At 47.7% G+C, this 13,563-nt stretch overlaps 1 protein-coding gene and 1 non-coding gene across 6 annotated transcripts in view, besides 7 other annotated features; both read right to left on the minus strand.

Moving 5' to 3' along the window:
• The window catches only part of XXYLT1 (xyloside xylosyltransferase 1), a 202,876-nt gene that overhangs the window by 59,255 nt on the left and 130,058 nt on the right, over nucleotides 1-13,563 (minus strand). The window lies entirely within an intron of this gene.
• Nucleotides 1,959-2,338: an enhancer, noted in NCBI's record as "active region_21042". NCBI's record gives its function as "activates an Ori minimal core promoter by ATAC-STARR-seq in GM12878 lymphoblastoid cells {active_cell/tissue: GM12878}" and the evidence as "EXISTENCE:reporter gene assay evidence [ECO:0000049][PMID:35858748]".
• Nucleotides 2,479-2,788: an enhancer, noted in NCBI's record as "active region_21043". NCBI's record gives its function as "activates an Ori minimal core promoter by ATAC-STARR-seq in GM12878 lymphoblastoid cells {active_cell/tissue: GM12878}" and the evidence as "EXISTENCE:reporter gene assay evidence [ECO:0000049][PMID:35858748]".
• Nucleotides 3,900-3,969: an enhancer, noted in NCBI's record as "active region_21044". NCBI's record gives its function as "activates an Ori minimal core promoter by ATAC-STARR-seq in GM12878 lymphoblastoid cells {active_cell/tissue: GM12878}" and the evidence as "EXISTENCE:reporter gene assay evidence [ECO:0000049][PMID:35858748]".
• Nucleotides 4,030-4,139: an enhancer, noted in NCBI's record as "active region_21045". NCBI's record gives its function as "activates an Ori minimal core promoter by ATAC-STARR-seq in GM12878 lymphoblastoid cells {active_cell/tissue: GM12878}" and the evidence as "EXISTENCE:reporter gene assay evidence [ECO:0000049][PMID:35858748]".
• Nucleotides 5,891-5,970: an enhancer, noted in NCBI's record as "active region_21046". NCBI's record gives its function as "activates an Ori minimal core promoter by ATAC-STARR-seq in GM12878 lymphoblastoid cells {active_cell/tissue: GM12878}" and the evidence as "EXISTENCE:reporter gene assay evidence [ECO:0000049][PMID:35858748]".
• Nucleotides 6,968-7,042, minus strand: MIR3137 (microRNA 3137). Its single transcript, NR_036089.1, has one exon. It is a non-coding gene; the product is annotated as a microRNA 3137 (primary transcript).
• Nucleotides 11,504-12,005: an enhancer, noted in NCBI's record as "H3K4me1 hESC enhancer chr3:194859771-194860272 (GRCh37/hg19 assembly coordinates)". NCBI's record gives its function as "activates a minimal SCP1, AML or CMV promoter by ChIP-STARR-seq in primed H9 embryonic stem cells {active_cell/tissue: H9 hESC(primed)}" and the evidence as "EXISTENCE:reporter gene assay evidence [ECO:0000049][PMID:30033119]".
• Nucleotides 12,006-12,505: an enhancer, noted in NCBI's record as "H3K4me1 hESC enhancer chr3:194860273-194860772 (GRCh37/hg19 assembly coordinates)". NCBI's record gives its function as "activates a minimal SCP1, AML or CMV promoter by ChIP-STARR-seq in primed H9 embryonic stem cells {active_cell/tissue: H9 hESC(primed)}" and the evidence as "EXISTENCE:reporter gene assay evidence [ECO:0000049][PMID:30033119]".

Below are 13,563 nucleotides of genomic sequence, written 5' to 3' on the forward strand. Positions count from 1 at the left end.
GCCGAGACAGGAGGATTACTTGAGCCCAGGAGTTCAAGACCAGCATGGGCAACATACTGAGACCCTATCTCTACAAAAAATCAAAACAATTTGCTGGGCATGGTGACACGTGCCTGTAGACCCAGCTACTTGGGAGGCTGAGGCAGGAGGATCACTTGAGCCCAGGAGGTTGAGGCTGCAGTAAGCCATGATCATGCCACTGCTCTCCACCTTGGGTGACAGAGTGAGACAAAATGTGTGTGTGTGTGTAATTTTTCTGAAGAGCAAAACGCCATGTAGAAAGAGGAAGTATTAATAAAAAGTAAGATATTTGATTGATCAGAATGAATTTTGAAGGGTCTGTGAAATGATTATATAAATCATTGAAAGAGGTAATTGTGCAAATGTGTACATCACATAGGCTGACATAGTATCAGAGCTAGAAGGGAGCTTAAACATCCAAACATCCGTCTCCTCATACAGATAGTTGGGAAACCCAAGGTCCAGGCAAGTGAAAGAGCCTGGCATGCCAGGAGCCCAGGGCCCATGAGGACCTGTAACCTGCAACGGGGCCAGGGAAGCTGACGGCACATGGCCACACCACTGGTGGGAGGCAGACTCAGAACACTTCCATCCCTTTCTAGCATGCAGTCCTAGTCTGCTCAGGGAAGTGTTGATAGCTCAGCCTCAGTACAGCCCCCCAGGGAGGCAAATGACTGACAAACGCCTGCACATCCCTTCCTACCTGACACACCACATCATCACCCACCAGGGCGCCCAAGCCAGAACCCCCAGTGCATCCTTAACCCATAGCGCATTCATCCTCCTTTCCAGCTGCCCCCCTTAAATCTCATCTCAGCCCCAGGTATTCATGTTTTCACTCCTCTCCAATCTAATCTCCACCATGCAACCAATGTCAACATCCTAAAATGAAAATGAAACCAGACCTCCCCATCCTCACCAGGATAAAGCACAAATGCCTTTGCATGGTTTATGAGGCCCTCTGTGTCTGACTCCTTGGACCAGCACTCTTACCTGCACACCCCGGGCTCCTGGACTAAACTCTCATAGCTCCCTAAACTACCCTGAGCCACTGCTCCTGTAGCTCCCTGGACCTAAAATGTCCTTTCTTCCTGACCAACTCCTGCTTTCCTTCCAATATGTCACCTCTTCCTGATGCCTTCCCTGATTACCTCTAATTGGGCCTCTCCTATGTGTTTAGAGCCCCTCATCACAATACTTATCTGTTACTTGCTTACTTGAATGTCTCCCCCCTTGTATAAGCTCCTTGAAGGTGGAGACTTTTATTTCTGTCTCTTCAAATCTTAAAACACTGGTACACAATAAATATTTGCTGTGCAAGAATGACTGGCTGACTGAATAAATGAAAGCATGCGCCAACACTGGAAGATTAGTAGAACCGTCTTGTCCCAGTGGCCAAGAAAAACATCCCCATGCGAGACGAGTCATTTTCATTCTCTTGGAAAGTAAAAAGGCAACTAAATCATTAAAATGAAATAAAAATTTTCATCTTTTAAAAAATGACTTTATACAGATCTGTCAGTACTTAATGCTTGTTCTACCCTGGAAAAAATATTGTGTGGGGGGAAGGTCGCGGCTAACATAGAGAGGGACAGCAGAGTTTAGCGTGAACACTGAAGTCTGCACTTATACGGCAGCCATTTACAACCTCCTGCCCTCTCTCTCTCTCTTTTTTTGGTAACAGCTTTCTTGACACATAATTTAAATTCCATACAATTCACCCATTTAACATGTACAATTCAGTGGATTTTAGTATGCTCACAGAGTTGTGTAACTATGACACAATTTTAGAATATTTTCATCACCTCAAAAAGAAATCTCGTACCCTTTAGCTATCGCTCCCCCAAAACTCCTGGACCACCTGCCCCAGCCCCAAGCAACCATTTTTGCCTCTTCTGGATATTTCATCTCAATGGACGCATATAGTGCGGTCTTCTGTGACGGGCTTCTTTCACTCGTCTTAATGCTTTCAAGGTGCATCGTGCTGCGGCATGTATCAATTCTTCATTCCCTCTATGGCCAAATAACATTTCATCATATTTTGCTTTTCCATTCATCAGTTGATAGACATTTGGTGATTTCCACCTTTTGGCTATTATGAATAATGCTGATATGAATGTTCATTTGCATGTTAGTGTGCGGGCGTATGTTTTCAGTTCTCTCGGGCATTTGGTGATTTCCACCGTTTGGCTATTATGACTCATGCTGATACGAACGTCCATTTGCATGTTAGTGTGTGGGCGCATGTTTTCAGTTCTCTCGGGTCTCTGTACACCTATCTAGGAGTGGAACGGCTGGTCAGGGTCACTAAGTTTGTGAACAGCCAGACTGTTCTTCAGAGCAGCTGTACCACTTCATATTCCCACCACCAGTGAGTGCGGGTTCCCATGCCTCCAACTCCTCACCAGCACCTGTTATTGTCCTGCCTTTCTTTTTTTATTATAGCTGACCAGTGGATATGAACTGGTGTCTCACTGTAGCTTTGCTTTACACTCTGCCTGATGACTAACGATGTTGAGCATCTTTTTGTGTGCTTTTTAGCCATTTGAATGTCTCTCCTGCCATTCTGCCAGTCTCAGCAAATACTCAGTGCAAGCTACTCAGTTGCCAGGATTTCCTGGTAGATCTGTGGTCCCTCTCTGAGGACCCTCAGGTACAGCCCCAGCATGCCCACCAACAGGTAGGAGCTGCCCATTAGCACCTTTAGAGATGACTCTGGAGCTGGCTTTGAAGTGACAATGATCACACTCAGTAGACAGGGACTATCTGAATGCAGCCTGCTGTCTTCTAGAAACTGCTAGGCAGGTCTGGGCTTAGAGGGGAAAGGCAGAGATGAGTGAAGATGGGGTGGACCCTGCTGGTCCTCAAGGACTTTATAACCTTTAGCTGTGGAGACACCAGGTAAGATTAAATAAATGCTTTAACCAAGTCATTAGCAGAATGCTTCAGAAATGGAGGAAAGAGGAGAGGTGATTCCTACTTACGGGTGAAGTGTAGATCAGGGAAAGGGTTCATGCCAGTAGCTATGCTAGAGCTCAGCTTACAAAGGAAGTAAGTTTCCACAGCCAGAGTTGGGGAAGGACATGCTATGCTAAGAAATCAGCCTGAGCAAAGCACTGGAGGCGAGAGGAGGGGAACGGAGGCAACAGGCAATCTGGAGGGGCTGGGCTCAAGTCAGCACCTTCAAGAATCTGAACAAATGTACCCATGGCCATACACAACAAAACGTGCATACAATTTCAGGGTGCAGGGAGAAGGGAGAGGAGGGCAGTGAGGCTGAAAGATCAGCTTGAGGCCAGATCGGAAGAGGTCTTTATGCTGCACCAACTGCGGCTTTGTCCCATACGCTCCGAAAAACAAGGCAGAGCTGGACCCAATGGTGACAGGATCCCCAAGGGTCTGCTTAGCCTGAGACCTGCAAACACAACACCATTGCCAAGACCTGCAAATTCTGCAAGCAGGACCATTCAGGTCCCTCCTTCAATGTATCCCTCGTGCCCTCTACGGCCTATTCTCAGAAATGGGACCCAAACAGTGTTCTCCCTTGTGCCGGCCTGCTCCATTGGCCGGTTCCTTCCCAAGCTGCTGAGGAAGCAGCCTCGCTTTGTCACAGGCATCCTCATTACCCACTACCTGACCCCCACATTGCTCAAACACCCTAGACTCAGAAGCCGAACCACCCTCTTTCCGTCTCCCCATTCATTTCCAAACACACACAGTCTTCTTTGTTCATGAAAGGGACAGGTGATCTGACTTGCCTGAAAGGCGGGTGGATTTTTCAGTCCTAGCTCCACATTCATCAGCACCTTACAAGTAAGGGCAGGCCTTGGCTTTGCAGCTAGCTGTTATAGAGCAAGCCTGACATATAGCCTTTGGCTAACTATAGCACAGCTATTTCTGCAACTGCAGCAAAGTGCACCACAAATCAGCAGTCACAAAGAATGGCTTGGAATCTGTTACAGCAAGAAAGTGCATCTCCAGAAAGCTCCATTCCAGCTGTAGGACACTTTTCCCGCTCTCTTTCCTCCACTGTGGTCCCAAGTCAACAATGCAAGCAACAGTTCAAACTGAGAACTGAGAACCTCCTTCTGCGAAGACCACTCTCAGAGCACAAGCAGGGGCAGGGCCAGGGTGATGAGGCAGGCAGGAGGTGACAAACCTCTATGGTAAATGTTTACCAGTGACCCCACCATATCCAGGCTAATTTCATAGTCATCACAAAATATATAATATTACCACACAGTGAAAAGAACACTCAATTATACTTGAGGCTTGGATCTTCCATTTCCTAGTTTTGTGACCTTGGACAAATTCTATAAAATGAGGACACTATCTTTGCTGTCTATCCCTGAGGGCCTCAGTGAAGAGGTTTGCCAATGAAGACAGAAGTCCAGGCAGGTGATCAGCATCTAGCAGGCCCAAGAGGAAGATGCTAGAAGCCAGCCAGTGAGACTTGGGGGAGCCAGGCGGGACCTCACTCCTAAGGAACTAAGGAACCCAGTGGGGTCCCTCAGTGCCAGCCTGCAATACCCAGAGGACAAGGATAGCATGTGATCCACACCGCTAAGGCCTGAAGCCCACCTCCACATTTACAGCTGTGACATGCTGGCCATGAGCTTTTGCCTTTCTGTGCCTCAGCTTCCTCACTTCTAAAATGGGGATAGAAATAGTATTGGCTTTATGGAGTTGGGATAATTAAACATTCCAATGCTCCAGCCTGGGCAACATGGCGAAACCCCATCTTTACAAATAAAGAAATTAGCCAGGCATGGCAGTGCGCGCCTATAGTCCCGACTACTCGGGAGGCTGAGGCAGGAGGATCACTTGAGCCTGGGAGGTCAAGGCTGCAGTGAGCCAAGATCGCACCACTGCATTCCAGCCTGGGCAACAGACTGAGACTCGGTCTCCAAAAAAAAAAAAAGAAAGAAAATAAGTGCTTAGAACAGTGCTTGGCGCATGACACACATTCATTAAGCAGCAGTTGTTATTATTACAAACTATGTCTCTGTTCACCATTAATTTAAACTGCATTTAAATTGCAGTTTGAGAGGTAGGCAAAGTTTTTGGAGGAACTAATGACATCAGCCTTCACTGGGGAGATGGATACACCTAATCAGAGCTGAAGAGCCAAGGAGGAACGCCACGGTTTTATTCTCGGCTTACTTGGAGATTTGCAACTGACACCTACCAGCCAGCAGACCGTAGTGAAGCAGGATGCTTAAAGACTAGTAATAATCATCTTTCATAAATATATGGAACACTTTCAGGTTTACACAGATTAACGCTGAGATGCACAATATGATTCTCATTTTACCAATGAAGAAAGTGAAGCCAGATTTTAAGTATTTGCTTAATTCCATGCACAATTCTCTTTCTACCAAAACCATATATTCTGATGGACTAGATTTTCTGGTTAACAAGGGCAGAAGTAACTACATTCTGTAAACTGAATCGTCCTGCTGAGTTCTAGTGAAACAAAAGCTTACAACATCATAAATAAAAAACCCTGCTTGGGGTGGAGGTGGTGGGCAAGTGTAAGCACCAGCATGGTCTCAGGGACCTGACAGAAGGAGGGTGGCAAGAGAAGGAATCAGGCAGATTAAGGGGCATGAAATGTGAAGAGAAAGACGGCTGAAGCCCCAGGTGCCCCGCCTGCTGAGCAGACAGATGGCTGCAAGTCCCAACGCTCTGATAAAAAAAGGAAAATTAATTTTTCCTGAATGGCCCTGGAGTACCAGCAGCTGACATCGGCAGGTGGATAACTGAGCCAGCCCTTGGGGTGGGGAGTGGGAGAGGGGGAAGAAGGGTGGGAACTTTCTTCTCAAGTAAGAAGGAAAACACTGGAGAATTCAATAGGTGTCCAAGAGTTTCTGGAAGTTCTACAGGCAAATGTGATCAAAGACCTTCAGGAGAAATGTGTCCCATAAGTGACAGCATCTATTGAACTCTAAAAATGAATGTGTCTGCACCAAGAAAACTAGATGTTCAGCTTCCAGCATGATAAACATTTCATATTTGAGTCACCTCTGCTACGCCTAACAAGCAGAGGCGGACGAGCTGCTGTGCCAAACGCTCCCAGATGCACACTCTCGGCAACTTGTTGCCATGCAGCATTGTATACAGTCACGCACCACGTGACGACGTTGCAGTCAACGACAGAACACACGAACAGAGGATGGTGCCAGAAGATCATGATGGAGCTGAAAAATCCCCATTGCCTAGTGACGTCTTGGGGATCCTGACCCTGTGCAGGCCTAGGCTGATGTATGTGTTTGGCTTGTTTTTAACAAAAAAGTTTTAAAAAATTAAAAACTTACAAAATGGAAAAAAGCTTACAGAATAAGGATAAAAAGAAAAAGTATTTACTTTTGGCTGGGTGTGGAGGCTCATGCCTGTAATCCTGGCACTTTGGGAGGCTGAGGCAGGAGGGTCGCCTGAGCCCAGGAGTTTGAGACCAACCTCGGCAATATAGTGAGACCCCTGCCAAGTAAAAGACAGACAGACAGACAGAAAGAAAGAAAGAAATTTTTGTACAGCTGTACAATATATTTGTGTTTTAAGCTGAGTGTTATTACAAGAGTCAAAAAGGTTTTTAAAATTTAAAAGTTTCTAAGGAAAAGAGCTGCAGTAAGCTCAGGTTAATTTATTTTTGAAGAAAGAACATTTATTTCTATAAATTTAGCATAGCCTACAGGTGCCTGAATAGAAAAAGCTTACAGCAGTGCAAAGTAACGTCCCAGGCCTTCACACTCACCCACTGACGCACCCGGAGCAACTTCCAGTCCTACAAGCTCCACTGATGGTAGATGCCCTATACAGAGGCACCATTTTTCATGTTTTACTCTTTCTATGTACTGTACTTTTTCTATATTTAAGTATTTTTAGATATACAAATATTTACCCCTGTGTTATAGCTGCCTACAGTGTTCAGTACAGAAACATGTTGTACAGGTTTGTAGCCCAGGAGCACGAGGCTACCCCTATACCATACACCCCATTGCTCCCAGGCTACAGACCTGTATACCATGCTACTGTAATGAATCAGCACACACATTTGTGTTCCCAGCAGCTGACAAGATTAATCTTCAGGATGCCAGGAAGGGACTCGGAGAAAGCTACAAGCTGGGGCCCTGGCTTCCCCGGTAAGAAATGTATGTCTGCATAGAGTTCCTCCAGACAGGCCTGCTCCCTGCCTCTGGAAGCCTGGCAGAGAGGAAACGCTTTCCATCCGTATTTCCCACTGGCTGGCATCATGGCGTGAAGAGGGGTGTGTGTGTGTGTGTGTGTGTGTGTGTGTGTGTGTGTGTGTGCGTGTGCGCGCGTGCGCGCACGTGCAAAGAGCTATCAGCTATTTCCAAAGACGACTCAGTAAATAAGAGCTTTTCTGTAAATCTGAGTATCTGAAGGACTTTTGTGGGGAAAGGTGTGAGGACATGTTTTCGTTTGGCATCAGAGTATGTTTGGCAGGGGCAATGGGTAGAAACCACAGGGGCGTAGATTGTTTTAGGTTTAATAGACAGAAAGACATTCTAACAAACTCATCCAATCATCAAATAATGGGCTGCTCTGAAAGTGGCCACGTCCCCACTGTGGGAGGTGATCCGCTTGAGACTGACAGATCTGGGATGCTGCAGGCGGAATCCAACATGAGGCGAGATACCCTCGGTGTCCCTCCCATTCCCAGAATTCTGCGACGATATCAACAGAATCTATAATGGTCTGCTAGAGTTAGGAAAGATAGTTCAATTCACCTTTCTCATTTTACACAGGAGGAAACCAAGGTGGATAGGAAGGGACTGGACCCGAGGCACCTGAGTCTATCTTTCCATCCCCTTATCAAAAAAGAGTCAGTCAGCAGGGGCAGGGAGGTTTGTTCAGCATTTCAGTGAAGAGAAAGGGGTGTTGGGAGATGGGAGGGAGGACAGTGAAGTACAAGTGGCTTCCATTTTCCAGGGCAGATGACACACTGGGCACCTCCACACTTCCCTGGAGAACCCAGGCTGGCTCGGAACACAGTCCCTAGGCCTCAGCACCAGGAGGCTGAGACCCACGGGAATGACACTGTGGCAGAAGTCAGCTGCTTTTGCAGTACATAGCAGGATGGGGTTCCTGTGACTGAAGGGGCAGACACGGAAACTCAGACTGGAAGAGCTTTCTACTGTAGAAAAGAGGTTTTTACTGTGGGAAAGAGATTTTCTACAGTAAATCTTTGCTGTCACCTTAGATGGATAAATGGATGGACGGATGGACAGACGGGGATGGCAGGACGGCAGTCAGGTAGGCAGGCAGGCATTATTCTAGTGCTTCCCTAGGGTAAGAGAAAGGTTCACCCGACTCAGGCTGCAGACATAAAAAAGTGAAACCCATGCCCTCTGATAATGACCAACATTCCCTCTATGGTGTAGAAGCTATGAATGGCCTGGCTGGATACAGTTTCCACTAAAACCTACACCACTGAGATTTCCCAATGATCAGAAGCCCTCAGCAACAGTCTGAGAGCAGCCATGCACGGCTGCCTTTAATTACACACTGATCACAGCATCACCAGGGCCGTCACCATGCTGGGAGGAAAAGCGATAACATCATTTTGCTGGAGAGAGCCCCACACGTCAGAGCAGAAATGCAGCCTTTGCCAAATGTGACTGTGGACAGAGATGAGAGATCCACTCGGACAGCGCTCAAACGCCAACGTAGGACCCTCAGTGCTCCTATAGGTTTGAATGAAAAGACTATCTTTAACATACACCTGTATACTGCAACCCACCCCGGCCCAAAAAAATAAATGGGACTCAGTGACCCAGGCTATAAGGTGGCTGGGTAGGAGACTGCAAAACATCTCAAGAGCTGCTATTTCCTAATTCAGGAAATAGAGGATGTGGTCTAAGAACCATCACTCCAGGACCTCAGGGGCAGAGGGGACAGGCAGGGGACTGAGCCCAGGAACCTGGGTTCTAGTCCTGACCAAGCGGCCCCGGGTGAACGCAACTTACCGAAAACTTAGTGTCTTCTACAAAACAAGGATAAAACCACCTGCGTTCTTATGTCACTGAATTAGTATGAGGAGCAAATTTAAAATATGAATGTAAAACCAATTTGCACACAGTTGAGCACCGTTCAAGCACACAGGACGACAGCACTGCTATAAGCCCTGGCCAGAAGCACACAAGGTGAAGTGGGCAGCTCACAGGACGCAGGGAGCTGCCAGGAAGGCCACTGCATGTCTGTCAAAGGGCATGGAGACTTCAGCCTGGACAAGAAAAATAAATAAATAAATAAAAACAAGCAGAGGTCCAAGGAGATAAATAACTTATTCTTTGTTTTAGACCATTTTTAGAAGTGGCGTCGAAGGGTAAAAACCTTCATCAGAAAGGCCTGGACCCAGAAAACAGGTTCTCAAACTGAGAAATGAGCACAGGATTGAGTGTCTAAAAGGAGATGATTACACTGCAACTCGTTCGAGTCCTAGGAGGCTGTCCACAAGCTTAGGCTTAGCTGCAGGCAGCCAATGGGATCCTTCAATCATACAGGTACAGCCTGCCACAGTGCCCAGGTGCCTCATCAGCTTGCTGTGGGGGCCAGGACAGAGAAGGGGCACTGAAGGGAAGAAAAAAGTGGAGGGAGAAACAAAGTGGGGTGTGACACTTTTCTTCTGGGGCAGGGGAAGGGGTGACATGTAGGGACAGGGGCATTACAAACTGAAGTTTGAGATGCTTTAATAATGGTGCTTCAAAAATCCTTGACCCCATATTGTTGGAAGCTATTTTCAGCTGGCAATTTACAAAACCACACATGGTCAGCTCCAATCTGGCCACAGTTTCTGCACCTTTGCCATTGGGCTTTCGGCACTGGTCTTCTGCACCATGGATAAGAGCACAAAGCCATGTTTTCCCACATGGGTAAAGGGTGGGGTAAGGGTGTGCACCTGCCTGTAACCTCAAAGACCGTGAAGAGAAAGGGGCTAGTGGCAGCTTCATCCAAGGCAGAAGGTGATTCCTTCCTGCACAGCACACTCCCTTTCTAGGCCAGGACAAATTCCTTCTGGCTTCAGAGGTGGTGCTGCTGCGCACTCTACATTTAACCTCTCCGTGCTCTGTAAATACTGCCTGCTTTGGCTTCACAGCACCAAGGAAAGTTATGGCTTGTATCGGACACGGAGAAAGGGAGAGGGCTCTGATGGAGCTGCTCTGTGCTTAGTATTATGTCATGTGTACATGACATCATTGTATTCTCAGCTACTTACTGAGTACCCTTAAGTAGGTCCTGAAGGCCAGTGATTCTCAAACAGGAGGAAGAGAGGGGTCATAAACCCTTGCAGGTCAGAACTGGCAGGCAGGCTTTATCAGACACACCCTTTCTGCCTGCATAGCAACATGTGAGTCCCAGATCTCAAATATGCCATGGAAGGGGAGGTTCTCGTTTTATAGCCCATATGCTGGGTGTCTCCCCATTTCACAGATGAGGAAACAGAGGCTTTAAGAGGTTTAAGTATGTTTCGCAAAGTCATTTGGCCAGTAAGTGATGGAGCCAGAAGTCAACCTCAATGACAGAAACTTTGCCAACATTTTAGTCTATCTCCACAATGGCAATAAGAGAAGCAAGTTATCTTCCCAGGAAATTTAAGTGATTTGGTTTTATTCCTGCTAGGGACTTCAGTTCCCTCCGCTTCATGCCATCATTTGAAAATAATAACCAAGCCTTAAAACTACAAGATGTAATTAGAGAGCTGGACACTGGCTGGAGGAATGGTTTCCGTGCCAGGCCCTACCTAGACTGGATTTGTGAGACTAGGAGGGGAGAGGCTGGGCAATATTTTACTAGTCAAGGGCCTGGTCCTTGACTAATAAGGTCATAGCCTTGCAGAGGGAGACACGCATTCATGGGAAGCGTCTGTCCTCCAAGCCTGAGGAGTGAGGGCCACAGCTGGGTGCAGGCGGCCCTCAGAGAGGCTTTATGGAACTGGCAGCATCTCACCTGTGCCTCGAAGAATGAGCAGGGCATATAGAAAAGTGGGCTGGAGGCCAGGTGCAGTGGCTCATGTCTGTAATCCCAGCACTTTGAGAGGCCGAGGCGGGTGGGTCACAAGTGAGGAGTTTGAGACCAGCCTGGTCAGCATGGTGAAACCCCGTCTCTACTAAAAATACAAAAATTAACCAGGCATGGTGGCGGGTGCCTATAATCCCAGCTACTTGGGAGGCTGAGGCAGGAGAATTGCTTGAACCTGGGAGGCAGAGGTTGCAGTGAGCCAAAATTGCACCACTGCAGTCCAGCCTGGGCAACAAAGTGAGACTCTGCCTCAGGAAAAAAAAAAAAAAAAAAAAGAAAGAAAGAAAGAAAGAAAAATGGGCTAGAGAGAGAGCATCCTAGTCAGAGAGAGAGCATCCTAGACAGAGGGAGAGCATCCTCAAGGGCCCCAAGTGTGGAAGACACCTGTGTGGGCAACAGCCAGGGGTTCAGTGCAGCTGAAACAAAAGTACAAGGGGAGCTGGTGAGAGGAGAGGTGGGTGCAGGGAGGGAGTAGCTGCCCCCAGTGTCAGGCTAAGGAGTTCGGCTTTTAAAATTAGTCCAATGTCTAGCATACAGCAGGTGCTCAGGAAAGCTGGAGACAGAGAGTCATCAGTTAGTTTGGGGACATGGAAGTGGGTAGGCGGTCCCTTGGCTGCAAAGCTCCCGGGTAGACAGTCCCTTGGCTGCAGAGCTTGGAGCTGCTAGTGACCCAGGAGACTACGTCTGATGTGAAATGAAATTGAAAGTCGAGCAGAGAGTCTGGCTAAGACCTTCTAAGAGGCGGAAAATGATGTGGAGGCAGGGAGAGGGAACCAGGCCCCCAGAGTCAGAATAGGCAGCAGGAAGGACATAAGGCCTGCTGCTTACGGATCTCTCATCTCTGTCCACAGTCACATTTGGCAAAGGTACCTCCACGTCGCAGGAGTGCAGCCACGGACGCTTTCACAGTGTGCTCAGCCGCTCAGCTGCAGGCATGGGGCCAGCCCTCTAGGCTATATACCTCTTGAGGGTGGGGTCTGTGGCTTGTTCAGAGCCTGGCCCTTAGCAGGTCCTGAAGAAGTAACTGTGGAATTCTTTACTAGATAAGCTCAGATGTGCCAAGATGATAAGACAAAGGCCCCTTCCCAAAAACACTCCCATGACTGAGGCCAAGCCCACATGAATCTCCTAAGTTTATCTTGGGTAATGCCAGGGCCAGGACACATAGGTGAGTTTCACAATGGGAGCCTGCGTTTCCATTCCATTCCCCTCACAGAGTTGGGGTGGGCTGGGCTTGGCTGTATTCACCAACAGTCCCTATGGACTTCTCCCAGATGAGGACCCCTCCCAGCTTCTGGAGATTCTGTGGCAGACATAATACAAGCCCATCCAGGAGGCATAAGGCGACATCTCCCGAGCCCTACGTGCTGGTCTAGGGAGCAACACCCTCTCTGCAAGACATCTTTAGGCTCTCTGGAGTACATGAACACAGGTGAGTCATCCTTTTACAGTCACAGGCTGAGAGGGTGCAGCCCTGGTGAGATTCTGACTTGTAGCTAATGTGCACTAAAAGCAGCTCTTGGGAATTTCTGAGACCAGCCAGAAATCAATGGTGACAATAAAGCATTTACACTTTTGAGCAGAGTTACCTCATCTCAACTTCGATTCCTTGATTCCTTCTGCATGGAATTATGGCCAAATCCCAGTGGTTAGTTCTCAAAATTAGCAAATTAGTCTATAGGCAACGTTAGCACCACCCAATAGAGAAAGCCTAATCCTTCCTATTCAACCCATGCCCAAATACCAGCTCCGGAGGTGGCACGGACTAGCAGAGGATGTGGGAGGCACCCTTACTGTTATGGACAGCATGTATGGCCCCCACCCAAATTTACATGTTGATGTCTACATTAGTCTGTTCTCACACTGCTATAAAGACATACCTGAGATTGGGTTGATTTATGTAGAAAAGAGGTTTAATAGACCCACAGTTCTGCAGACTGTACAGGAAGCATGGCCAGGAGGCCTCAGAAAACTCACAATCATGGTGGAAGGTGTAGGGGAAGCAAGCACATCTGCACATGGCAGCAGGAGAGAGAGTGAGAGAGAGAGTGAGAGAGAGAGTGAGAACAAAAGAGAGAGAGCACAAGAAGGGGGAAGCACTACACACTTTTAAACAACTGGATCTCATGAGGACTCATTCACTATCACGAGAAGAGCAAGAGGGAAGTCTGCCCCCATGATTCAATCACCTCCCACCCAGCCCCTCCTCTAACACATGGGGATTACAATTCAATATGAGATTTGGGTGGGGACACACAGCCAAACCATATCAACGTCCTAACCTCCAGTGGGATGGTATTCGGGGGATTTGGGGGAGTTATTAGGTCATGAGGGTGGGGCTCTCATTATGGGATTAGTGCCCTTATGAGAGACATGAGAGAGCTTGCCTCACCTCTCCCTACCTCTGCTCTCTCCATCATAAGAGGATACAAGACGGCCATCTGCAAACCAGGAAGTAGGCCCTCACCACATACCTGATCTGCCAGCACCTTGATCTTG

This window comes from Homo sapiens, chromosome 3, assembly GCF_000001405.40.
Source record: "Homo sapiens chromosome 3, GRCh38.p14 Primary Assembly".
Taxonomy (NCBI): domain Eukaryota; kingdom Metazoa; phylum Chordata; class Mammalia; order Primates; family Hominidae; genus Homo; species Homo sapiens.